The sequence below is a fragment of the Homo sapiens genome, chromosome 3 (genome assembly GCF_000001405.40).
Source record: "Homo sapiens chromosome 3, GRCh38.p14 Primary Assembly".
Lineage (NCBI taxonomy): Eukaryota > Metazoa > Chordata > Mammalia > Primates > Hominidae > Homo > Homo sapiens.
In genome coordinates, this window is record NC_000003.12 from 58,871,310 (window position 1) to 58,898,257 (window position 26,948).

General features: G+C 40.1%; 1 protein-coding gene and 1 long non-coding RNA gene across 30 annotated transcripts in view, besides 2 other annotated features; one reads left to right on the top strand and one right to left on the bottom strand.

The window, feature by feature from the left end:
• The window catches only part of CFAP20DC (CFAP20 domain containing), a 333,853-nt gene that overhangs the window by 155,137 nt on the left and 151,768 nt on the right, over positions 1-26,948 (bottom strand). For 22 of the 29 annotated variants that reach the window (XR_001740051.3, XR_007095648.1, XR_001740054.3 and 19 more), the window contains one exon: positions 13,236-13,400. The exons of 4 other annotated variants lie outside the window; for them this stretch is intronic. Coding sequence is in view for 14 of the 25 variants with exons in the window: in NM_198463.4 (NP_940865.1) it covers positions 13,236-13,400 (165 nt within the window). In the remaining 11 variants the exon portion in view is untranslated. Of the gene's footprint in view, positions 1-125; positions 219-11,037; positions 13,401-16,466; positions 16,485-26,948 lie in introns of those variants that run through there. 3 more of the 29 variants (XM_024453386.2, XM_047447657.1, NM_001351533.2) reach the window with 3 other exon arrangements.
• CFAP20DC-AS1 (CFAP20DC antisense RNA 1) overlaps positions 1-26,948 on the top strand; it is a 194,623-nt gene that overhangs the window by 46,839 nt on the left and 120,836 nt on the right. The gene's annotated exons all lie outside the window — the stretch shown is intronic.
• Positions 2,796-3,995: an enhancer, noted in NCBI's record as "MED14-independent group 3 enhancer chr3:58859831-58861030 (GRCh37/hg19 assembly coordinates)". NCBI's record gives its function as "activates an origin of replication core promoter dependent on BRD2, BRD4, P300/CBP and CDK7 cofactors, and independent of MED14, by STARR-seq in HCT116 cells {active_cell/tissue: HCT116}" and the evidence as "EXISTENCE:reporter gene assay evidence [ECO:0000049][PMID:35650434]".
• Positions 19,250-19,789: an enhancer, noted in NCBI's record as "H3K27ac-H3K4me1 hESC enhancer chr3:58876285-58876824 (GRCh37/hg19 assembly coordinates)". NCBI's record gives its function as "activates a minimal SCP1, AML or CMV promoter by ChIP-STARR-seq in naive H9 embryonic stem cells {active_cell/tissue: H9 hESC(naive)}" and the evidence as "EXISTENCE:reporter gene assay evidence [ECO:0000049][PMID:30033119]".

Here is a 26,948-nt window from a genome sequence, read left to right on the forward strand (position 1 = left end):
CTGAAAAGAGCCTTAAAATGTGAAGAGCCTATTCTAAATTTGGTAGGCAACAAGGAATCCCTGAAGGTTTTAGAGAGAAAGAGAGCAAAACAGTGTCACCTTCAGGATAGGGCAGGTGTGCTCACCAAATCCTGCTGCCTTCCCTTCTGCACACACAGCTAAATTACATTTCTGAGCATACCCTGTCGTTATATGGGCCGCATGACTGAATTCCGACTTTTCTTTTTTTTTTTTTTTTGAGACAGTCTTGCTTTTGTCACACGAGCTGGAGTGCAGTGGCATGTTCTTGGCTCACTGCAACCGCCGCCTCCTGGGTTCAAGCGATTCTCATGCCTCAGCCCCCTGAGTAGCTGGGACTAGAGGTACACGCCACCATGCCCAGCTAAGTTTTGTATTTTTAGTAGGATGGGGTTTCACCCTGTCGGCCAGGCTGGTCTCGAACTCCTGACCTCAAGTGATCCACCTGACTCAGCTTCCCAAAGTGTTGGGATTATGGGTGTGAGCCACCGCACCTGGCCCCATAGGATTGAATTCTGGCTAATGAACTGTGAGAAGTTTCAGCCATTTCCTGGCCCCCAAAACTCCCAGCAGAATCCCCCATGCTCTCTATTCCCTCGCCTCCTGACTAGATGCAGAAGATCTTGTGGAGGACTTTCAGGGCTCCAGGGAAGCCACTAGATGCAGGTCCCTGAATGACGACATAAAAGGCTTCCCAAGGAACTCCTGATTGGACTACAACTGAGGGGTTCTTTGTGACTGCAATTAGCCTCCTCTGACTAACAGGGCAGGTGAGGGTGATAGCCTTTAACTGAAAACACTGCCCATTACCTAGAAAGCCTTCTGCTGTGACCCACCTGTAAGACAGGACCAACTTAAACATTACAATGATGGTCCCAAGTAAGTCCACATTTGCCCACCAGTCCTGGACATATATAAGCTACTGGCCACTTCCTGCCTGACCTACTCCCTGCAAAAATTCCTCTAGCTAGCTAGTTGGTCTCATTAGCCTCTGCTGTAGAGCTATAATTTTACATGTAGGGGGATTAAAAACCACTCCTATGCATCAGTCTTAAAAAAAAAAAGACACATGGGTTTGTGAAAATATACCATACTCAGCAAGATCCAGATATTTAGGTCTGAGTGGAAGTAGTGTGTGTATGTATGGGTGTGTTTTGGGTCTGTTTTTGTGTTTGTAATAGATAAATCTGAAGATAAAGGCAAGGGCTAGATTGCTGAAGTGAACTGAAAGAATTTTTGCTGAACAGGAGACATGAGGTAGATGTTGAAGTCGTGAGGAGGTAAAAACCATGTCATTTTTCTTGAAATTCTGGAAGCCCTATTAGGTAGGAGAGAAATTCCATTTGTCTAAAGGGCAGAATCAGAACTAATGAGAAGAATTTACTTCAGGAAGCTTTTAGTCCAACACAAGGGTTATCTTTCTCTAAATATGTCTGGCTGTTGAGGTGATAAATTTTTTGTCATTTTGAAGGCATTTGAGCAGAAGTCTGGAGAGCTATGCTGGATGCTGTAAGGCAGGTGCTCAAGCAGAAGTCTGGATAGCTATGCTGGATGCTGTAAGGCAGCTGTTCAAGCAGAATTCCGGATTCCTATTCTGGATACTGTCAGGCAGGTCCTCAGGCAGAAGTCTGGATAGCTATTCTGGATGCTGTCAGGCAGGTCCTCAAGCAGAAGTCTGGATAGCTGTGCTGGATGCTGTAAGGCGGGTGCTCAAGCAGAAGTCTGGATAGCCATTCTGGATGCTGTAAGGCGGGTGCTCAAGCAGAAGTCTGCATAGCTATTCTGGATGCTGTAAGGCAGGTGCTCAAGCAGAAGTCTGGATAGCTATTCTGGATGCTGTAAGGCAGATGTTCAAGCAGAAGTCTGGATAGCCATTCTGGATGCTGTAAGGCGGGTGCTCAAGCAGAAGTCTGGATAGCTATTCTGGATGCTGTAAGGCAAGTGCTCAAGCAGAAGTCTGGATAGCTGTGCTGGATGCTGTAAGGCAGGTGCTCAAGCAGAAGTCTGGATAGCTATGCTGGATGCTGTAAGGCAGCTGTTCAAGCAGAATTCCGGATAGCTATTCTGGATGCTGTCAGGCAGGTGCTCAAGCAGAAGTCTGGATAGCCATTCTGGATGCTGTAAGGCAGGTGCTCAAGCAGAAGTCTGGACCAGCTATGCTGGATGCTGTCAGGCAGGTGTTCAAGCAGAAGTCTGGATCAGCTATGCTGGATGGTATAAGGCGGGTGCTCAAGCAGAAGTCTGGATAGCTATGGTGGATGCTGTCAGGCAGGTGTTCAAGCAGAAGTCTGGATAGCTATTCTGGATGTTGTCAGGCAGGTGTTCAAGCAGAAGTCTGGATAGTTATGCTGGATGCTGTCAGGCAGGTGCTCAAGTAGAAGTCTGGATAGCTATTCTGGATGCAGTTAGGCAGGTGTTGAAGCAGAAGTCTGGATAGCTGTTCTAGATGTTGTCAGGCAGGCGTTCAAGCTGAAGTCTGGATAGCTGTTCTGGATGCTGTCAGGCAGGTGTTGAAGCAGAAGTCTGGATAGCTGTTCTAGATGTTGTCAGGCAGGTGTTGAAGCAGAAGTCTGGATAGCTGTTCTAGATGTTGTCAGGCAGGTGTTCAAGCAGAAGTCTGGATAGCTGTTCTGGATGCTGTAAGGCAGGTGTTGAAGCAGAAGTCTGGATAGCTATTCTGGATGCCGTAAGGCAGATTCAGACATCAGGTGACTCCTTAATTTATATCTCTTAGCCTTGTCCTCTCTTCTGAGCTCCACTCCTTATATCCAGTAGCCTCTTTACCAGCTCCTCTTCAGTGTCTGAAAGGCACTTCAAACTGGAAACCTGGTCTAATGAATGGGACCACAATCCATCTGGTTTGAAAAGTCAGAATCTAGGTGTCATGCTTGACACCTTCCCCTGATCTCTCCATATCCCATCCATGTCCACTTCCTTCCATCTCCTCCACCAGCACTGACATCCTCTTCCTCCTGGATGATGACAAAGCCTTACTGTGTGACTTACTGTGTCCACGCTGGTGCCCCATGCCATCCCTCCTCCAAAATGCAGCCAGAGAGGTTTTATACAAACATAAATCTAATTGAGTCATTTCCTTTCCTTCACTTAAAGTTCTTCAGTGGCTTCTCTGCTGCTCTCAGGAGTAAGATGAAGGCTCTTAACATTGCCCGCAAAACCCTGCATGTTCTGACATGTCTGAGTATCTTACACCTCTCGTTTTCTGCCCTCTCGGTAGACGGGCCTTCTCAGTTCTTCCTGCCTACTAGAGTGTTTGTGTATGCTGTTCATGGCAAGAAGGCTTTTCCTTTCCCTCTTGACCTTTATGCCTCAGTTCACATATCATTTCCTCAGACAAGTCTTTGCAGACCTTTCTGATTAGGGTAAGTTCCTCCAATATAGGCTCTTCCATAAATTTTCCCTCATAGAACTTGTCAGAATTGAACTTTTACACATGTCCATGGGATTCTCTAATTAATGTGTGCTTCAGTAGACATAAACTCAGTGGCCTGCTTCTGTCACCCTGAACTGCCAGCACCTAGCCCAGTGCTTGACACAGAATAGGCACATAATAGTTCCTTGCTGAGCAAAATGAATGATTCATTAAATGAAATGAGTCAGAAGGGAAGTTGGATTAAATGACTCAAAAATGTCTAACTATGGTTTGAAGTTCATTTTAAGAGAAATCTACCTGGGAGTTCTATGTGTGAATCAAAAAGGAAGACTAGGCAGGTCTGGGCAACTCCAGGACGTGAGGGATGAGAGAGAAGGGATAACAATGAACAAAACGTTGATGTTCTCATAAATGATGATGCTCTCAACAGTAGCAGTGCTATGGCACTGCAGTCAGATGCTATTTGGATTACACATGAAATTTCCTAGTGTCACCAAATAGACTTGGTTATGTGTGCATATGTATTTTTTTTTACCAGCTATTTATATTCAACTGGAGTCAACAAAACAGTCTCTCACGATTGACAATAGGAAGAAATGACATTCACATTCCAGAGCAATTGGAAAAATCTATTATAGTCAATATTTGTGCCTTTTGTGACTAAGTAGAACAAATTCTAGACTATTCATTTGGTTCTCAAATGTTGATTTTTTCAGAGAAAAATGGGTGCGGAGAGTAATGAAGGGCTCTGTGGGACATGGTGTGGGCCTGGGAGGGATTTCTGTACCAGCACGTGGCCTTTCTTCCCTCTTCCAATCCTGGGAGCTCAATGTTCAGCTAAGGGCCATTTTTCTGTTCAAATATTTTACAAGAACAATTTCCTGATGTTTTTTCATATTCTTTCTCTATAAGGAAGTTTCCCCTCAATCGATGTAAGTTCTTTTGTAGAAAGACCATTAATTTGGCACAGTAGGTACCTCCATCAGCTGAGCCCAGCTTAGCCTATTGTAGATAATGGATAAATCTCACCAAATTATGGAAAATTAAAAATTAAAAAGAACTTTTGTGGGGAGGGAGTATTTTAGAAATCATACACAGTTCCAACTAAAATTTGACAAAATGAACATATTAACCAGTTCATAGTTATTAACAAAATTAAAACTAAATACTTCAAATTTCTTAGAGGAATCTCTTGCTTAGTAGTGGACACCCAGTGTCTATTAAAGATACACCCACACCCGATATGCTATTATTCCCAAATCACAGAAAACAGACATTCTATATTTCATAATCCTATCTACTATAGAATTTATTTAAAGAGTAATCTACCACAGTATATTTAAATTAATGTTTATTTTTAAAAATTTTGCACATTTGGTACACTTTATTTTTCACAAAGCAAAGTATACCAATATTCCACTATTTAGTATCTCTTTAATAGACCTCGTTAAACTTGTTATTATAATGAACACACCAATTCTTAAGTCCTGCTTCACTTTAAAAAATCTGTGTATAATCATATTAATTGTCACAATTATCTCTATAAACACGTATTGTGCTATGCATCTACCATAATCGGGTCCTAATTAACACCTACTAAGAAAAGTAATTTAGAACTTTGGTTTCTAAAATAAAAAGTAGATGAGACAAAGTTTCCATAATGAGAAAAATCTTAATAAAAGAAAACTACAAGCAGAAATGCATGCTTTTGAATTCTAAAAGGAGCTCTTTTAAGAGCTGATATCAATATGCATAATATAAGGTTAAAAATCAAGATTAGATTAAAGTCATGTTCTAGGCATTTCATTTCCTTGAGTTTGTGGAAAATGAACTTGGTGTAGGTCAGAGATGTTACCACTAATTATTTTCCTATTTTACTGAGGGGTACATGCCTTTGTAGTTAGATTGTAAAACCTGAGGGTCTACTCTCTAATTGTCTTTTAGAAAAATAAACATTCATTTTTGTCTCAAGATACAATGTTCTAATTATTATAGTCATTTAAATTTGCACGGTTTTCAAAGCTTAACCAGAAAAACCTGTTGAATTTTCATATCTAATCACTGAGGGGTCATGCTCAAGACTTACATCTATTATCTAACAATCAAATTAGAATTAAAGCTGGTACCAAAAGTCCAAACTTGGATTACTTTTCATTGTAGTATATGTGCATTGCTATTAAGAATGTAACAAATACAAAAAAGGCTGATCTTGTACAGCAGTATTATTTTAGAAAAGGTACTTAACCTTTCTAAGCCTCACCTCTTCATCCGTAAGACTGGGATAATCGTAGTACTGAAGTCATGGCATTTTTGTTAGAGCACATGAAACAATGCATGTAACATGTTAAACACTGTGCCCAGTAGGGAGTAATGCTATTAATACCTAGTAAATATGCTATTAACACCTTCCACCGTGAATAGTATTTAACAGTTTAGTAAGTCTGTTCACAGTCATTTATTCCTTCCTTCATCCACACTTTGAGCAGTGACCAGGCATTTAGTCGGGCATGTATTGCTCTAGTACTGTGTAAGACAGGGAGTAAGGTGGACACAGCCACCTCCTTCAAAGAGCTCACAGTCTGACGGGCAGACAGATGTTAAAGCAAATAATTTATAAATAACTACATGATTATAGCTGTGATAAGAGCTATGAAGGAACAGTCTGAAAGGTTCTAAGTGTGTTTAACAGGAGCTTCATATCTAGTCTTTGGGGTCAGAGAAATAATGTTCAACTTGAGACTTAAAGGATGATGGATATCAGGATACATGCTCAATCTTTCTGCAATTTCCAATCACCTGTGTGGTGTTATGATTTCATGACTGCAGAAGAAGAAACTGAGGCTTGCAATGTTTAGAGATCTGTCCATGCTCTGAGCGGGGGCTCAGAAGCCAAGCACCCCAATGCCTCTTTGTGTGTGTGTGTGTTTTAAATTACATATGATGATGCCCTCTGTGGATCAGGAGGACATTGAAGCAGGTTCTTCCCATATTTTCCAATTCTTCCACTTACTTCCTATGCAATTTTGTAAAGCTACTTAACTAAAAATTTTTGTTTTGCTACCTGAAAAACTGGGTTTATTAATGATTGTATAGATAAGTATTGAAACTGCACGAATATGATAATTAAGTGCATGTGATGAGGACTAATGGGGTTTATGAGGAATCCAACACAGAACATAATACCATAATATCCATTTTCAGATGGAAAAAAAATAGTGCTGTGGGGACTGGGGAGGGCATGGAAAAGGGAGCAGGGCAAATTGAAGTGGCTTCAGTGCCAGGCAGGTAACACATACGTGGCAAGCAGGCACATGCAGAATGTAGGGGAACTGTGGCTAATTTGAGAGTGCAAGCCCAATGTAAACTATTTTAATTAAAAACTTTCTTAGACCTGTTGGAGGACTGTCAGTCTGTAAACCCAGAAAACACAACGAAAAGAAAAGCAAATAGGCAAATGACTAAAGCAGGAAGGGCCCTAGGCAATTAAAATGTCTTCAACTTTTGCAAATAATTAAAACCAGAACGTAGCCTTACCTCATTAATAAAAAGTTTAAGACACTTTTTGAAAGGCAATAAAATAATATTAAAAACTAAAATTAGATCTCTTTCTCCTCTGAACTGGAGTAGGACCTTAGACAATGTATACATATCATTTTGTGGGTAAAGTTAGGATATTTAGACAAGATAAAAAGTAATAAAGCACAGGATATTGCTTTTCTTCATAAACCCTTAATTTATTAAAAAGTCAGAATTAGCCTACTTTTTTTCTTTACTCTTAATGAGCAAAGAAACTTTTTTTTAGGGAAACAAGTTTATCATTTCAAGAAAACTTTCCATTTTGAATCACTAGCACAGCTTATTTACAAGCCGTGGTAGATAATTTCCATCATTTGGGCTTGGAAATAAGGCAAGAGAAGAAGAGAAGAAAGCTTCCCAGGAAGATGATGCTTAAAACTATTACGGTCATGAGAAATTGCTTAAAGGGAGTCAGTAATTAAGAATGCACCTCTGTGCTGGGCGGGGTGGCTCACGCCTGTAATCCCATCACTTTGGGAGGCTGAGGGGGGCGGATCACAAGGTCAGGAGATCGAGACCATCCTGTGAATGGTGAAACTCCATCTCTACTAAAAATACAAAAAATTAGCCGGGCGTGGTGGTGGGCACCTGTAGTCCCAGCTACTCAGGAGGCTGAGGCGGGAGAACGGCGTGAACCCGGGAGGCGGAGCTTGCAGCGAGCCAAGATTGTGCCACTGCACTCCAGCCTGGGCAACAGAGCGAGACTTCGTCTCCGAAAAAAAAAAAAAACAAAAGAATGCACCTCTGAAACCAGCCTGCCTGGTCAAATCCTAGGCCCAATGCTCACTATTTGATCTCTGCAAGCCTCAGTTCCCTCATCTACAAAATAGTGATTACTGAGTAGAGTTAACAATAATCTATTGTATATTTCAAAACAGCTAGAAGAAAGGTTTTGGATGTTCTCATCACCAAGAAACAATAAATGCTTAAGATGATGGATATGTTAACTTCTCTGATTTGATCATTACACAGTGTGTACATGCATTGAAATATCATGTTGTACCCCATAAATTTGTACAATTATTATGTGTCAATCATAAAAAGGGTGATTATGATGGTATCTACATAAAAGGGTGTGAAAGAGGATTAAATGTATAGACTATGTAAAGGGTTCAGTGCTTAGAACGCAATAACAACTACTAAATGGTAGTTCGGATGATGATGATGATTTATTGCTAAATACCCTAATCTGCTCAAATTATTTGGCTATCATTCATTCATTTAATCACTCAATCAACAAATATTTACTGAGCTCCTGGTAAGTACTAAGCATTGAGTTAGGTGCTAGGAATACAACAATAAATAGGACCCTGCAGTTCTCAGGCTTACATTTTAGTGGGGGAGACAGCAACAAGGAAGCAATCAAGTAAATAAGAAAATATCAGGTAGTGATAAATGCTGTGCTGAAAGTAAAAACTGAGTGATGTGACAGAAAGAGTGTCTTGGGGGTTGGTGGAGGGCATTGATTATTAGAGCCCCGAGTTCACCAGTAGTGAAAAAGTATCTGAAAATTCACAGTTCAACTAAAATATCTCAAAATTCATACTCATATAGTGTAGATAACCGTATATTATGTATTTCCCTATTAAACCATAAACTAAAAAGTTGTTTAATATTTAACTATACATAGACTTTCTTTGTTAATAATTCTCGATTTCCTTCTTATTATATATTTTAATTAAAAATATTGATATTAAACAGAAAAATATATTTTAATTTTATAGCAAGTCTTAGAATTTTTCAAAATACAGAAGAGTATAAAGAAGAAACTAGAAATGTCCCATAATTACTCTGACATCATACAATCATTGACATCAATCATGAATATAGTTGGAAAATTAAAATTCTGTAATAGAGAAGGATATGATACTAGAAGTAAAAGTCTTTTCTCACTGCCCCTGTCTCTACTAGTCCCTGTTTTCAAAGGTAATTATCAAGTTTCCTGTGTTTCCTTAAAAATTTTATGCATATATCATATGTAGGTAACTATCTTTTTTATTTCTATCAATGAGATCATACTGAAACAACATTCTTGGTTTCTATTTTTCACTGACTGACACAGCTTTGAGACCTTTCCAGGCCATCACAGGCAGAGCAGGTCATTCTTCGTATAGCTGCATGATATCTTATTGTGTGGTTATTGAGTCAATTCCCTACTGTACACAAGTAGTTTGTCTCTGGATTTTTGTTATTACAAGCAATGTAGTCATAAATATCTAAAGGAGAAATGTAAAAATAGGTATGAGTCAATCCTGCAAAAGTAACACAATTGTCAAACTGATTAAATGAATTTAATATTTAATATTATGTTTTATATTATTAAAGTTTTTTCAATATTTGGCAGAAATTTTACAGAAAAATTAAAATTCACTCTATAAATGGTTTGTGTCATCTTTGTTGTAACAGATTCCACAGATATTGATCAACAAGATCCATATTCAACAGATATTATTTCACACTTAAAATTTTTTTGACAAAAGAATGTGACTAGTTATGTTTCACTTTTATTGAAGATAGGGAAAAAGGATATATGATTCAAACGTAAGAGATGACTGAGTTTATTGTGAATTTTCACACATTGGAACTAAAGATTGTGAGATATCTTTAACCAACAATCCTAAGACAAGGCTAAGAAAAAGTCTGAGTTTAGAAAAGAAGAAATTAAAGAGTGTCTTGATTTATTTTGAAGTCAGAATCTAACTCCTTCTCCTTTTAAGTTCTCCTACTTCACAGCAGATTTTTAAAAATTTGAATCTTACTTTCATATTGTGGAACCAAAAGAAGAATTTTTAGTAAGGATTTCACCATTGCCAAAAATAGTTAGATGATTATTTCATGTTTTTTTGCTCGATGCATTAATTTACCCATTTGCAATTGTGCTAGGAGCTAGGGATGTCAGTCTCTTCTCATTTAAAAAGGAGTAAAAATCCAATAAGATGGCTGCTGTGGACAGGAGGGCACTTGGGAAAACTGCCTTGTAATTTTTAAGTAAGTTACTAGTTTTGATTTGTGCTTAGTGGACCACTGCATCTTGTCACTAGTAGCTGAATGCTCAACTTCAATAACCAGATCTGATTCTCTGGTTCATTTAAACCGGGGTCCCATTAATGAAAATAAGATCATCAGATTCCACAGTCTTCTACAATAGTTATTAGTTAATGTGCACTGGGAATTGACAAAGTGAAGAGTGTGAATGTGTGGTTTTTGGAAACACAATTATTTTATTAGTTTCATTAAAAGCTCTTGATCAAGTTATATGCTATTCAACAAAATGCACTCCAAAATAGTTACAAGTTTTAAGGTTTCCTTTTCAGCTTGTGTGAAAACACTAGAAAGCACCCACAGAAAACAGCTACTTCTTTCTCCAGAGGTTTCACTGGGATCTCTCAATATGTGCATTCATAATAAAATATCACAATTTACATGAGTAGCCCATAGTTAATTAAAGAGAACACATTTTCTCATGCAATTCAAATCTCACTGTGGGGAGTCTACTTTTTAGAAAGACACAAAAACAAGTAGTTCAAATGAAGAAATATCTCTTGGCTTTCCCATGATTAAAAAGCCTGTCCTTGGGCATTATTCATTAGCTACACCTTTCAAATGGCTTACACAAAGAACAATAATTATTACAATATTCACTGATAGTAAGCTTCAAAGCTCACAAATGTCAAAATCAGCAATTGAAAAGTATTTACAGAAAGAGAACCACAAAGTGCAATTTATGTTTGTGTAATCTTAGCTGGCATACATGTGCAATGAGATTTATTTAAGAAGTGCAATCATAAACCCTATGGTTACAAACGAATATAATTGGGATTCACAGAGCAGAAGAAATATGCTATTAGATGACAATTATTCATTTCTGTATATATGACTCAAGTTCACTACTATGCATTGAGAGCCCTTTTATGGAAATTGCAAAATATATATTAATATCCTCTTTTATGAGTTGGGTTCAAATATGGCCCATGAAAAAGTTTGTGTTTAATTATAACATTGAGTTAGTGATGCAATTAATATTTATCCAAATTCCCATTTAATTTCACACATTATAAGTGTCCTTCAAATTTAAATTGAAAAAGACACTTAAAATATCGGGATATAGACTTGCACTTTCATTTAAAGACATAATTAATTCTTAAAACATTAAGCTAGAGAATAAAAGCATTTACAATGGCAAACAATTATCTGATATGCTTTATAGTTTAGCATTCGTTATTGAAAGTTATCATAGCATATTAGATACAGATATAGCATTTGTTATAGAACACACTCTTATTTTATTCTGTGGTACATCTTCCATTCAGATTGAATTGTGACCCAAAGTGTTTACAGTAGCTGTCTGGGTAGTCAGATCTTTTTAATCCTTTTATGTATTTATTTTCTCAAGGCTCTTTAATGACCATGGATTGTATACAGTCTCTCTCTGTCTAAATATAGTATATATAGTAAGCATACAAATTCCCATTGTGTGTGCCTGCATTGCTATCAAAAAGTCCTACCTAAAGTTGGTAACTGTGGAAGCAGGTGATTGGGTACACAGGGGTTGTTCATCATACATTCTCTCGAATTTTCTGTAAGTTTGGAAATGTCATAATAAAGGACTAAATAATGTACTGCTTATTTATACATAGTCATCTGCAGGATTTATACTGAAAAGGTTACCAAATAGGTCCCAGTTCTCTGGGAATATACAATTTAGGACATGCAATATGATGAAGATTGACATATAGAAAATATCCCAAGAATAAATGAACATGGAATAAGTATAGAGAATAAAATGAGTTCACTTTTGAAATTTTCATATCATGGTTATCTCTTGTTTCTCCTTGACCTCCTTCAAACTTTGACCACTCTCTCATCCCCATCTATTACCTGAGAATCACTGAGTCTTGCCAGTTTTCCTGGCAATTGCTCTCAGGGCCATTGCTTTCCACTTTCAAAGCTACTGTGAGTCTGGGCCTTTGCCATTTTAAGCCTGGATTGCTGCAGAGACATCTTAGTTGTGCTCCTTAATCTCTGCTATCACTTGATTTCAAAATTCACCTTGAATCCTGCTGTTAAATTCAACTTCCTAAAACAGAAGTTATCATTTCTCTACCTTAGGATACTGAAGCCCATTTCTCTTGTATTCTTCTAACACAGTCACTCTGCTTATACTAAGGCCCTTCTTATTAATCCCTCAGTAAACTTATCTACCCATTTTGCTGTCTCTTTGTTTTTGCTCAGTCTTCTGCTCCATCTTACACTTCCAACAACCTCACATCTATTTATTTATTATAAGTACTTATTTATATAAGTATAGGTTGGATACTTTCAAGATCTACTTCTTCCTCCATACATGTCCTGTGATTACCATCATCATTTTACCTTTCATTCAAATACTTCAGTGTTTGTGAGTGTCACCTGAACGACATGACTTCTATGGGATAAGTGATCCAGTGGTCCATCCTAGACCAATTAAATCAGAATCCCTGGGGCATAGACATCAGAAAAAAAATTTTTGACATTAAAAATGTCTCTAACCTGTAAGGAGGTGATTCTAACATATAGGTAGTTGAGAACCACTCATCTAGACAATATTAAATTTCTTCATTTGTAAGTACTACTCATTAATTTGGTCAACAGCTCTGGTGTCTATCACAGAGGTAGAACACTGGCAGCCCTGACATGTTTTGTTTGGCCCATGGAGTGTTTAAAAAAAATTTCAGACAATGTTTTAAAATTGGGAGATTTATCATAAACATTCACGTATCCAGCTCCTCTTGAAAAAAAATGGGAGATCTGGTGAGACTGGGCCTGCCTTTTTGAAAGGCAACACTGGCTAGAACTGAATTGTGGCTCTCCCTTCTAGACTGAGGGAGCTTCCAGTTGGCTTCAGTCCCCACTACTCCCTACAACTCCCTCACAGGGGCTAAGTGTTAACTGCAATTTAATGTACTATTTGCACAGTGGTTAAAGTTACTGTTTCCCGTAATACCATAACCATTTCTCTCACTGCTGAAGTTGAAAATATTTCTATGTGTCAAATACTCAGGCAACCGGCCCACTTTATTCATTTATGTTATCCTCCTGGCCTTGTTAGTAATCTGAGTTTGTAGCCCCTGGCGTGGTATGTGGCAAGTATACTCTGTTAAGTGCGAAGGATATAGAAGAATGAGGTACAGTGCCCTTTTTGGAGGAAGTCACACTTTATGGGAGAGATGCAGACATATTACACTTATAATTTAGGTGCCTGAGTGTCTACCTGATTCTGCTGATCTTAGAGGATGGCCTCCGAATTTTATTTCAGTTTGGCGAAGTTTAGTCATGTTTAGCAGCTGTGTGACATGTGGAACATCTGTCATTAGTTGACAGCTTCGTGGTATAATATCTGTAGGCTCATCTGTTGAAAAGGGAACACCATAGACAGCTGGAAATAAAGACAAACATTCATTTTCAAAATGTAAGCCATTTCTGCCAAATGGACCTATCATATAAATGAAATCAATTAAAATTAAAGATTTTAGCGTATGACTTTGTACGAGTTATTCAACCTTTCAGCCCTGATTTTCTCATCTGTGAAATGAGCATGATAATTTTACTGCTTACTTCCTAGGGTAGACATGATTAAATGAGATAAAGCTTACACTATATGGAGCAAGTTCAGAGAACTATACAATAAATAAGAGCATGCATTGGAAATATTCCATATTTTCTTTTCAATACTAGAGGTGTGACTTGAGAGAACTAGTTAGGTATGTGCCATTTAAGATTTCTGGGAGTACATCAGCTTATTTATATGAGATCAATAAGTACAAAGATATTGAATAACCTAAGCACCCACAGCCATTATATGGGTAAATTAATTTTTTAACTTATTTGAAATAATTTTAGACTTTTAGAAAAGTTAAAAAAAAGTTCAGAGTTTCTTGTTACCCTTTACCCAGCTTCCTCTGTTAACATCTTACCTTTTAATATTTTCAAAATAATAGCTTATTATACTTATAATGATATTTTATTTTAATTTCATTCATGTATATTTATATGGATATATTAATTGTCTCTTAAAAATTGCTTTTTAATTGACAAATAGGAATTGTACATATTCATAGTGATGTTTACATACACATAATATATGGTGAACAGATCAGGGTAATGAGCATATTCATCATCTCAAACATTTATCATTCCTTTTTGGTGGGTACACTCAATATCTTCCTATCTATTTGAAAGTATATAACATATTATTGTTAACTATAGTCCTCTTACAGTGGTATTCCTCTTATCTAGCCATACATTTGTATTCTTTAATACATCTTTCCCTACCCCTCCCTTCCCCCTACCATTTCCAGCATCTAGTATCCTCTGTACTTCTTTTTACTTCTAAGAGATCAACTTTTTAAAGCTTCCACACGAGTGAGAACACGTGGCATTCAACTTTCTGTTCCTGGCTTATTTCACTTAACATAATGTCCACTTCTATCCATGTTGCTGCAAATGACAGGATTTCATTCTTTTTTATGGCTGAATAGTATTCCATGGTGTTTGTATACCACATTTTCTTTATTCATTCATCTGTTGTTGGACACCTATGTTGATTCTGTATCTCAGCTATTATGAATAGTGCTGCAATAAACATGGGAGTGCAGATGTCTCTCTGTAATTTTCTTTTTAGTAAATTTTCTGTTCATGTTTGTAAGCCATTTTACTATTAGTACATTTTTCCTATTTACTTATATGACCTCTTTTATAGTAAATATATTAAGCTTTGTCATTTGTAGCAAGTGGGAATATAAATTAGTATTAATATCCTAGAAAGACTTTACTATGTGTACCAAAGTCTTAAAAATGTTCATACCATTTTACTCAGTAATTTCATTTTATGAATCTATTCTAAAATTAAAAAAATTAGAAACTCAAGGATCTATGCAAATAAGCGTTTATAATTTCTGAAAAATAAACAACTTAAATTTCCAGCACTTGAGGAGTGTTAAGTACATAACAGTGTTTCATGGGATGAGACAGTAAAGAGCCACAATAAATTGAATTTATGAAGATGTTTTCACGATATGGGAAAGGCTTGAGATAAAAAGTTAAATGAAAAAAACAGATACAAAAAACTCTATCTCAACCATAGAAAATAAATTTATAAAATGTATGAATGGGTTGGGTGTGGTGGCTCCAGTGTGTAATCCCAGCACTTTGGGAGGCTGAGGTGGGAGGATTTCAGACCCAAGTTCAAGACCAGCCTGGGTAACATAGCCATACCCCATATATCTTTAAAAAAAAAACAAAAAAATTAGCTGGGCATAGTCCCAGCCACCCAGGAAGCTGAGGTGAGAGAATCACCTGAGCCTGGGCGGTGGAGGCTGCAGTGAGCTATGACTGCACGACTGCACTTCAGCCTGGGAGATGGAGAAAGACCCTGTCTTAAAAAAAAGAAAAAGAAAAAGAAAAAAAAGTGTGAATGGCAAAAAAGACTGAAAGGAAATATACCAAATGAAACTAACTTAGGTGGTTAGCTCAAGCATAGTTTTTAATTTTATTCTTCACAATAATTTCTATATATGTTTGATTTTTATGAGTAAAGTTTCTGTTTTTAGAATGTAGTGGGAAATTTTGTGTGTATATATGTGACTGTATGTAGTCAGGAAAATTCAACCAATCATCCCCCAAAAAACTTCCTTATGTACAATTCTCACAATTTATAAAAGCAAATAGAAGAGGTTTCTGTGCATCCTAGCCATGACATTTTTCTAATTAGATCCTAATGTCCTAATCTGAAAAAGGAAAATCAGTCATCTAACTAAAAACTTAAATACTCATCAGCAATGCAATGATTTCTAAATGTCCTAATGCTCTAGTCATTAAAAATGCACTAGATTTATAAATATTAGTTTTCAGATGTTTTGTCCATCCATTCTTTGTCATCAACATTTAGAAAATCTATATAAAGTAACTGAGCAAATGAACTCTCAAAATAGTAAATATTTACCTAACTTCAGATATATTTGACATATACTTCAAAACTCCTTTGAGATAGAAGAAGATAATTTCCATGTCAATGCCAATATTAATAAATGAAGGTTTTTTAAATTAGAAGATGAAGAGAATTCTGGAGGCCAGTGAAAACCTGAAATAAAATGCTGTCTTCTGAACCCTATGACGAGAATCATGAAAACTTTAGCTTAGCGGGCTTGTGTGACAAGTACAAGGATACAGTGGCATACAAAATTTGAAATGTATGAACACAAAACTTGAATTTACAACTAACAAGAGACAGATAGCAAATCTCTAGTAATCGTAAATTCCTAAGCTTTTATGGAAGATACAACAAGGCAGGGACTATCACAAAACTGCAATCTGAATCTTAAACGTGGTTGACATGCAGATCAGATTTCACATTAAAAGGCTCAAATCTAATCTGCATCACCCAACATCTTTCCTTTCTGTATATCTACTCCCCCTTTGCACCTAGAACTGTTTCACCACTTACTGGATTATTCTTTGAGGGAAACTGTGAGCAGTATAAAACCTGCAATAAAAGGAGAAATGTTTTTTAAAAAACACTGGTTGATTATTTTAAAATGAAGACTAACCATTAAGCCCATCTAGAACTACTAGCTCTAAAGGTTTCTCTGAGATTTCATGGTGGAATACTTGGAAAAGGGACTTTAGTCTCATTTTTGTGAAACCAAACTATGAAAGAGCTTTAGGACCATCTATTACCTGGCAGCTGGATGTTCTCTAGCACTAAATGGAAATTCACTCATCTCCCCACCTCACCACTAACCAATCACCATCTTTTCTATGTCCAATTACTAAGTCATTGTATTTTTAGCATATACAGCTTAATTTTAAAATAAAGGTGAAGTGTGAAAATAGAATAGACCCTACATAAACATTAAATAGCGCTTCATTGTGAGTTCACAGAAAGCATGGTCCAGTTTCATTTATTTACTCATTGTGTCATTCAACAAATATTTATTGAGGCTCTACTATGTGCCAGGCGTATGTCTAATGGCTGGGAATCTAGCAGTGAGCCAGAGTGACCCTGTCCTTGCCTCCTTGAAGCTTACACCTAGCAGAGAATATGAAACAAATAAAATCACAAATAATTCTTTTTTTTTCAACTTTTATTTTAAGTTCAGGGATACATGTGGAGGGTGTGCAGGTTTATTACATAGGTAAGTATGTGCCAAGGTGGCTCGCTGCACAGACCATCCCATCACCCAGGTATTAAGCCCAGCATCCATTAGGTATACTTCCTGATGCTCTCCTTTCCCCAACCCCTGACAAGCCCTAGTGTGTGTTATCCTCCCTCCATGTGTCCACGTGTTCTCATCATTCAGCTCCCACTTATGAGAGCATGCAGTATTTGGTTTTCTGTTCCTGCATTAGTTTGCTGAGGATAATGGCTTCCAGCTCCATGTCCCTGCAAAGGACAAGATCTGGTTCCATGTCGTTGCTATTGCAAATAGTGCTGCAGTGAACATATGCGTGCATGTATCCTTATAGTAGAATTATTTATACTCCTTTGGGTATATACCTAGTAATGGGATTGCTGGGTCAAATGATATTTCTGCCTCTAGTTCCTTGAGGAATCACCACGCTGTCTTCCATGATGGATGAACTATGAACTAATTTGCACTCCCATCAACAGTGTAAAATCATTCCGTTTTTCTCCACAACCTCACCAGCATCTATTGTTTTTTTTTTTTACTTTTTTTTTTAATTTTAGTATTTTGTTTAATCCAACATATACAAAATCTTAATTCAACATGTTATCAATATTAAAATTATTAACTTTCTCACAGAATATTTCACATTCTTTATTTCATTCTAGCTCTTCAAAATCCAATGTGAATTTTATACTTAGAGAATGTCTCAATTCAGGCTAGCCACATTTCAAGGGCCGACTAGACATGTGGCTGGTGTTTACTGAACTGGGCAGCGTAGTTCTAGACAACTTTTCACATAAATGACAATAGTAGGGTACAAGTATGATTTGCCTCCGTTCCATTTACAAACCCCATCACAGCAACCAATAGAAGCAGTATGAAACCTAACCCAGTGGCCAATAGGAAAGCTTGGAAAGCTGGAATCTGAGTGTCCAGAATTGTCAGTGAAACTTCAAAGACAGTCAGGAGGAAGCTGACCTAGCTCCACAACCCCCATGCAAACAGAACTGAGAGGAATCATTACCTCTATTTACCAAACCATAAGTATGCTCATTCGCCAATCTTTTTTTTTTCTTTTTTTCTTTTTTTCTTTTTTTAAATTTATTTTTTTATTGATAATTCTTGGGTGTTTCTCACAGAGGGGGATTTGGCAGGGTCATGGGACAATAGTGGAGGGAAGGTCAGCAGATAAACAAGTGAACAAAGGTCTCTGGTTTTCCTAGGCAGAGGACCCTGCGGCCTTCCGCAGTGTTTGTGTCCCTGATTACTTGAGATTAGGGATTGGTGATGACTCTTAACGAGCATGCTGCCTTCAAGCATGTGTTTAACAAAGCACATCTTGCACCGCCCTTAATCCATTTAACCCTGAGTGGACACAGCACATGTTTCAGAGAGCACAGGGTTGGGGGTAAGGTCACAGATCAACAGGATCCCAAGGCAGAAGAATTTTTCTTAGTGCAGAACAAAATGAAAAGTCTCCCATGTCTACTTCTTTCTACACAGACACGGCAACCATCCGATTTCTCAATCTTTTCCCCACCTTTCCCGCCTTTCTATTCCACAAAGCCGCCATTGTCATCCTGGCCCGTTCTCAATGAGCTGTTGGGCACACCTCCCAGACGGGGTGGTGGCCGGGCAGAGGGGCTCTTCACTTCCCAGTAGGGGCGGCCGGGCAGAGGCGCCCCTCACCTCCCGGACGGGGCGGCTGGCTGGGCAGGGGGCTGACCCCCCCACCTCCCTCCCGGACGGGGCGGCTGGCCGGGCAGAGGGGCTCTTCACTTCCCAGTAGGGGCCGCCGGGCAGAGGCACCCCTCACCTCCCGGACGGGGCGGCTGTCCGGGCGGGGGGCTGACCCCCCCACCTCCCTCCCGGACGGGGCGGCTGGCCGGGCAGAGGGGCTCCTCACTTCCCAGTAGGGGCGGCCGGGCAGAGGCGCCCCTCACCTCCCGGACGGGGTGGCTGGCCGGGCGGGGGGGCTGACCCCCCCCACGTCCCTCCCGGACGGGGCGGCTGGTCGGGCAGAGGGGCTCCTCACTTCCCAGTAGGGGCAGCCGGGCAGAGGCGCCCCTCACCTCCCAGACGGGGCGGCTAGCCGGGTGGGGGGCTGACCCCCCCACCTCCCTCCCGGACGGGGTGGCTGCCGGGCGGAGACGCTCCTCACTTCCCAGATGGGGTGGCTGCTGGGCGGAGGGGCTCCTCTTTTCAGACGGGGTGGTTGCCAGGCAGAGGGTCTCCTCACTTCTCAGACGGGGCGGCCGGGCAGAGACGCTCCTCACCTCCCAGACGGGGTTGCGGCCGGGCAGAGGCGCTCCTCACATCCCAGATGGGGCGGCGGGGCAGAGGCGCTCCCCACATCTCAGACGATGGGCCGCCGGGCAGAGACGCTCCTCACTTCCTAGATGTGATGGTGGCTGGGAAGAGGCGCTCCTCACTTCCTAGATGGGATGGCGGCCGGGCGGAGACGCTCCTCACTTTCCAGACTGGGCAGCCAGGCAGAGGGGCTCCTCACATCCCAGACGATGGGCGGCCAGGCAGAGACACTCCTCACTTCCCAGACGGGGTGGCGGCCGGGCAGAGGCTGCAATCTCGGCACTTTGGGAGGCCAAGGCAGGCGGCTGGGAGGTGTAGGTTGTAGTGAGCCGAGATCACGCCACTGCACTCCAGCCTGGGCACCATTGAGCACTGAGTGAACGAGACTCCGTCTGCAATCCCGGCACCTTGGGAGGCCGAGGCTGGCGGATCACTCGCGGTTAGGGGCTGGAGACCGGCCCGGCCAACACAGCGAAACCCCGTCTCCACCAAAACCAGTCAGGCGTGGCGGCGCGTGCCTGCAATGGCAGGCACTCTGCAGGCTGAGGCAGGAGAATCAGGCAGGGAGGTTGCAGTGAGCCGAGATGGCAGCAGTACAGTCCAGCTTCGGCTCCGCATGAGAGGGAGACCGTGGAAAGAGAGGGAGACCGTGGGGAGAGGGAGAGGGAGAGGGAGAGGGAGAGGGAGAGGGAGAGGGAGAGAGCTTTTTTACTTTTTAATAGTGGCCGTTCTGACTGGTGTGAGATGGTATCTCATTGTGCTTTTGATTTGCATTTCTCTAATGATCAGTGATACTGAGCTTTTTTTCATGTTCGTTGGCTGCATGTACGGCTTCTTTTGAGAAGTGTCTGTTCATGTCCTTTGCCCACTTTTTAATGGGGTTATTTGTTTTTTTTTCTTGTAAATTTCTTAAGTTCCTTGTAGACTCTGAATATTGAACCTTTGTCAGATGGATAGGTTGCAAAAATATTCTCCCATTCTCTAAGTTGTCTGTTCACTCTGATGATAGTTTCTTTTGCTGTGCAGAAGCTTAGTTTAATAGAGCCCATTTGTCTATTTTGAAACGCTTTTGTTGCAATTGCTTTTGGTGTTTTCATCATGAAATCTTTGCACATGCCTGTGTCCTGAGTGGACAAATCTTTGCCTGTGTCTTGTCCTGAATACCCAGATTTTCTTCTAGGGTTTTAAGTTTTGGGTTTTACATTTAAGTCTTTAATCCATCTTGAGTTGATTTTTGTATATGGTGTAAGAAAGGGGTCCAGCTTCAATCTGATGCATATGGCTAACCAGTTATCCCAGCATCATTTATTGAACAGGGAGTATTTTCCCCATTCATTGATTTTGTCAGTTTTGTTGAAGATCAGATGGCTGTAGATGTGTGGCCTTATTTCTAGGCTCTCTATTCTCTTCCACTGGTCTATGTGCCTGTTTTCGTATCAGTACCATGCTCTTTTGGTTACTGTAGACTTGTAGTATACATTGAAGTTGGATAGCATGATGCCTCCAGCTTTGTTCTTTTTGCTTAAGATTGTCTTGGCTATACAGATTCTTTTTTGGTTCCACATGAATTTTAAAGTAGTTTCTTTCTAATTCTGTGAAGAACATCAATGGCAGTTTAATGGGAATAGCACTGAATCTATAAATTACTTTGAGCAGTATGGCCATTTTCATGATATTGATTCTTCCTATCCATGAGCATGGAATGTTTTTCCATTTGTTTGTGTCCTCTCTGATTTCTCTGAGAGTGGACTGTAGTCCTCCTTGAAGAGGTCCTTCAATTCCTTTGTTAATTGTATTCCTAGATATTTTATTCTTTTTGTGGCAATTGTGAATGGGAGTTCATTCATGATTTGGCTCTCTGCTTGCCTGTTGTTGGTGTATAGGAATGCTAGCAATGTTTGCACATTTATTTTGTATCCTGAGATTTTGCAGAAGTTGCTTATCAGCTTAAAAAGCTTTAGGCTGAGATGATGCGGTTTTCTAGATATAGGATCATGTCATCTGCAAAAAGGTAATTTGACTTCCTCTCTTCCTATTTGAATACTCTTTATTTTTTTCTCTTGCCTGATTGTCCTCGCCAGAACTTCCAATACTATATTGCATAGGAGTGGTGAGAGAGGGCATTCTTGTCTTGTGCTGGTTTCCAAGGGGAATGCTTTCAGCTTTTGCCTGTTCAGTATGATATTGGCTGTGGGTTTGTCATATACAGTTCTTATTATTTTGAGGTGTGTTTCTTCAACACCTGGTTTATTGAGAGTTTTTAACATGAAGGATTTTTTTTTTTTTTTTTTGAGATGGAGTCTCGCTCAGTCGCCCAGGCTGGAGTGCAGTGGTGCAATCTCAGCTCACTGCAATCTCTGCCTCCCGGGTTCATGCCATTCTCCTGCCTCAGCCTCCTGAGTAGCTGGGACTACAGGTGCCTGCCACTACGCCCAGCTAATTTTTTTGTATTTTTAGTAGAGACGGGGTTTCACTGTGTTAGCCAGGATGGTCTCGATCTCCTGACCTCGCAATCTGCCTGTCTTGGCCTCCCAAAGTGCTGGGATTAAAGGCGTGAGCCACCGTGCCCGGCCAAAGGAACGTTGAATTTTATCAGAGGCCTTTTCTGCATCTATTAAGATAATCATGTGGTTTTTGTCTTTGGTTCTGTGTATGTGATGAATGACATTTATTGATTTGTGTATGTTGAACTAACCTTGCATACTGGGGATAAAGCCAATTTGATTGCAGTGGACAAGCTTTTTGATAAGCTGCTGGATTTGGTTTGCCAATATTTTTGTGAAGATTTTTGCATCAATGTTCATCAAGGATATTGGCCTTAAGTTTTCTTTTTTTGTGGTATATCTGCCAGGTTTTGGTATCAGGATGATGGCCTCACAGAATGAGTTAGGGAGGAGTCCCTCCTTTTCAATTGTTTGGAATAGTTTTATTAGAAATGGTACCAGCTCTTTTTTTGTACCTCTGGCAGAATCCAGGTGTGAATCCATCTGTTCCTGGGCTTTTTTTTTTTGGCTGGTAGGCTGTTTATTGGAGCCTGTATTAGTCTGTTTTCATGCTGCTGATAAAGACATACCTGAGACTGGGCAATTTATAAAAGAAAGAGGTTTAATGGAGAACTCAGAGTTCCACGTGGCTGGAGAGGCCTCACAATCATGGTGGAAGGAAAAGGAGCAAGTCACCTGTTACATGGATGGCAGCAGGCAAAAAAAGCTTGTGCAGGGAAACTCCCCTTTTTAAAACCATCAGATCTCAAAAGACTTACTTGCTATCATGAGAACAGCATGGGAAGTACCTGCCCCCATGATGCAATTACCTCCTACTGAGTCCCTCCCACAACACGTGGGAATTCAAGATGAGACTTGGGTGAGGACACAGCCAAACCATATCATTCTCCCCTTGGCCCCTCCCAAATCTCACGTCCTCACATTTCAAAGCCAATTATGCCTTCCCAACAGTCCCCCGAAGTCTTAACTCATTTCAGCATTAACTCAAAAAGACTACAGTCCAAAGTCTCTTCTGAGACAAGGCAAGTCCCTTCTGCCTATGAGCCTGTAAAATCAAAAGCAAGTTAGTTACTTCCTAGATACAACAGGGGTACAGGTACCTATTCCAAATGAGAGAAATTGGCAAAAACAAAGAAGCTACAGGCCCCATGCAAGTCCAAAATCCAGCAGGGCAGTCAAATCTCAAAGCTCCAAAATGATCTCCTTTGACTCCATGTCTCACATTCAGGACACGCTGATGCAGAAGGTGGGTTCCTACGGCCTTTGGCAGCTCCACCCCTGTGGCTCTGCAGGGTATAGTCCCCATCTTAGATGCTTTCATGGGCTGGCACTGTCTGTGGGTTTTCCAGGCACACAGTGCAAGCTGTCAGTGGATCTACCATTCCGGGGTTTGGAGGATGGTGGCCCTCTTCTTACAGCTCCACTAGATGGTGCCCCAGTAGGGAGTCTGTGTGGTGGCTCCAATCCCACATTTCCCTTCTGCACTGCCCTAGCTGAGGTTCTCATGAGGGCCCTGCCCCTGCAACAAACTTGTGCCTGGGCATCCAGGCGTTTCCATATGTCCTCTGAAATCAAGGTGGAGGTTCCCAAACCTCAATTCTTGACTTCTGTGCACTTGCAGGCTCAACACTATGTGGAAGCTGCCATGGCTTTGGGCTTGCACCCTCTGAAGCCATGGCCTAAGCTCTATGTTGGCCCCTTGTAGCCATGGCTGGAGCAGCTGGGTCACAGGGCACCAAGTCCCCAGGCTGCACACAACATGGTGACCCTGGGCCTGGCCCATGAAACCATTTTTTCCTTCTAGGCCTTAGGGCCTGTGATGGGAGGGGTTTCCAAGAAGATCTCTGATATGCCCCAGAGACATTTTCCCCATTGTCTTAGGGGTTAACATTCAGCTCCTCATCACTTGTGCAATTTCTGCAGCCAGCTGGCTTGAATTTCTCCTCAGAAAATGGGATTTTCTTTTCTATCGCATTGTCAGGCTGCAACTTTTCAGAACTTTCATGTTCTGCTTCCCTTTTAAAACTGAATGCCTTTAACAGCACCCAAGTCAACTCTTGAATGCTTTGCTGCTTAGAAATTTCTTCCACCAGATACCCTAAATCATCCCTCTCAAGGTCAAAGTTCCACAAATCTAGGATATGGGCAAAATGCCACCAGTCTCTTTGCTAAAACATAACAAGAATCACCTTTGCTCCAGTTCTCAACAAGTTCCTCATTTCCTTCTGAGACCACCTCAGCCTGGACTTTATTGTCCATATCGCTATCAGCATTTTGTTTAAAGCCATTCAACAAGTCTTCAGGAAGTTCTAAACTTTCCCACATTTTCCTTTCTTCTTCTGGGCACTCCTGTTAGTTCCAAAGTTGTTTCTACATTTTCAGGTATCTTTTCAGCAGTGCCCCAACTCTATTGGTACCAATTTACTGTATTAGGCTGTTTTCATGCTACTGATAAAGACATACCCGAGACTGGGCAATTTACAAAAGAAAGAGGCTTAATGGGGAACTCACAGTTCTACATGGCTGGGGAGGCCTCAGAATCATGGTGAAAGGCAAGGAGGAGCAAGTCACATCTTACATGGATGGCAGCACGCAAAGAGAGTTTGTCTAGGGAAACTCCCCTTTTTAAAACCATCAGATCTTGTGAGACTTATTCGCTATTACAAGAACAGCACAAGAACGACCTGCCCCCATGATTCAGTTACCTCCTACCAGATCCATCCCACAACATGTGGGAATTCAAGATGAGATCTGGGTGGGGACACAGCCAATCCGTATCACTGCTTCAATTTCAGAACTTGTTATTCGCCTGTTCAGTGACTCAATTTCTTCCTGGTTCACTCTTGGGAGGGTGTATGCATCCATGAATTTATCCATTTCTACTGGATTTTCTAGTTTTTGTGCATAGAGGTGTTTATACTATTCTCTGATGGTTGTTTGCAATTTTGTGGGGTCAGTGGTTACCATTTCTGCTCAAGTTTATTTGATTCATTTGTCTTTTCATCTTTATTACTCTAGCTAGTGGTCTATCTACTTTATTAATTTTTTTCAAGAAACCAGCTCCTGGACTCGTTGATTTTTTGAAAGGTATTTTGTGTCTCTATCTCCTTCATTTCAGCTCTGATCTTGGTTATTTCTTGTCTCCTGCTAGCTTTGGGGTTTGTTTGCTCTTGTTTCTCTAGTTTGTTTCATTGTGATTTAGCTTGTTAACTTGTGATCTTTCTAGCTTTTTGATGTGGGCATTTAGTGTTATAAATTTCCCTTTTAACAGTGCTTTAGCTGCATCCCAGAAATTCTGCTACATTGTCTCTTTGTTCTCATTAGTTTCAAAAAACTTCTTGATTTCTGCCTTAATCCCATTATTTACCTAAGAGTAACTCAGGATCCGGTTGTTCAATTTCCAAGTACTTGTGTAGTTTTGAGTGAATTTCTTAATTTTGAGTTCTAATTTGGTTGTGCTGTTGTCTGAGGGACTGTTTGTTACAATTTCAATTCTTTTGCATTTGCTTAGGAGTGTTTTACTTCTGATTTATGTGATCAATTTTAGAGTGAGTGTCATGTGGGGATGAGAAGAATGTATACTCTGTTGTTTCTGGGTGGAGAGTTCTGTATATATCTATCAGGTCCACTTGATCCAGAGCTGGGTTCAAGTCCTAAATATCTTTGTGAATTTTTTGCTTTGATGATCTGTCTAATATTGTCAGCAGGGTGTTAAAGTCTCCCATTATTATTGTATGGGAGTCTAAGTCTCTTTGAAAGTCTCTAAGAACCTGCTTTATGAACCTGCATGCTCCTGTATTGGGTGCATATGTATTTAGGATTGTTAGCACTTCTTGAATTGAACCCTTTACCACTACATAATGCCCTTCTTTGTCTTTTTTGATATTTGTTGGTTTAAAGTCTATTTGTCAGAAACTAGGATTGCAACCCCTGCTTTTTTCTGTTTTCCATTTGCTTGGTAAATTTTCCTCCATTCCTTTATTTTAAGCCTATGTGTGTGTCTTTGCACATGAGATGGCAGCATACCATGAATCTTGGCTCATTATCCAGCTTGCCATTGTGTCTTTTAATGGGGACACTAAGCCCATTTACATCTAAGGTTAGTATTGTTACGTGGGAATTTGATCCTGTCAACATGATAGCTGGTTATTTTGCAGATTTGTTTATGTGGTTGCTTCAATGTTACTGGGCTGTGTACTTCAGATACACTGTACTTCAGTGTGTTTTTGTAGTGGCTGGTAATGGTATTTCCTTTCCATATTTAGTGCTTCCTTCAGAAGTGCTTGCAAGGCAAGCCTCGTGGTGATGAGTTCCCTCAGCATTTGCTTGTCTGAAAATTATCTTATTTCTTTTCACTTTTGAAGGTTAGTTTGGCCAGATATGAAATTCAGGATTGGGGAAATTCTTTTCTTAAGAATGTTGAATTTGTTTCCCAATCTCTTCTGGCTTGTAGGGTTTCTGCTGGGAGTTCTGCTGCTAGTCTGATGGGCTTCCCTTTGTATGCGAACTGGCCTTGCCCTCTGGCTGCCCTTAACATTTTCTCTTTCATTTTGACCTTGGAGAATCTGACGATTATGTGCCTTGGCATTGATCGTCTCATGGAGTATCTTATTGGGGTTGTCTGCATTTCCTGAATTTAAATGTTGGCCTGGCTTACTAGGTTGGGGAATTTCTCCTGGATGCTATCCTGAAATATGTTTTCCAACTTGGTTCCATCTCCCGGTCTCTTTCAGGTACCTCAGTCAGTTGTAAGTTCAGTCTCTTTCCATAATCCCCATATTTCTTGGAGGTTTTGTTCATTCCTTTTTTTCCCTCTATTCTTGTCTGCCTTTCTTATTTTGGAAAGATAGTCTTCAAGCTCTGAGATTCTTTCCTCCACTTGGTCTATTCTGTTACTGATACTTTTTTTTTTTTTTGTGAGATAGTGTCTCACTCTGTCACCCAGGCTACAGTGCAGTGGTGTGATCTCATCTCATGGCAACC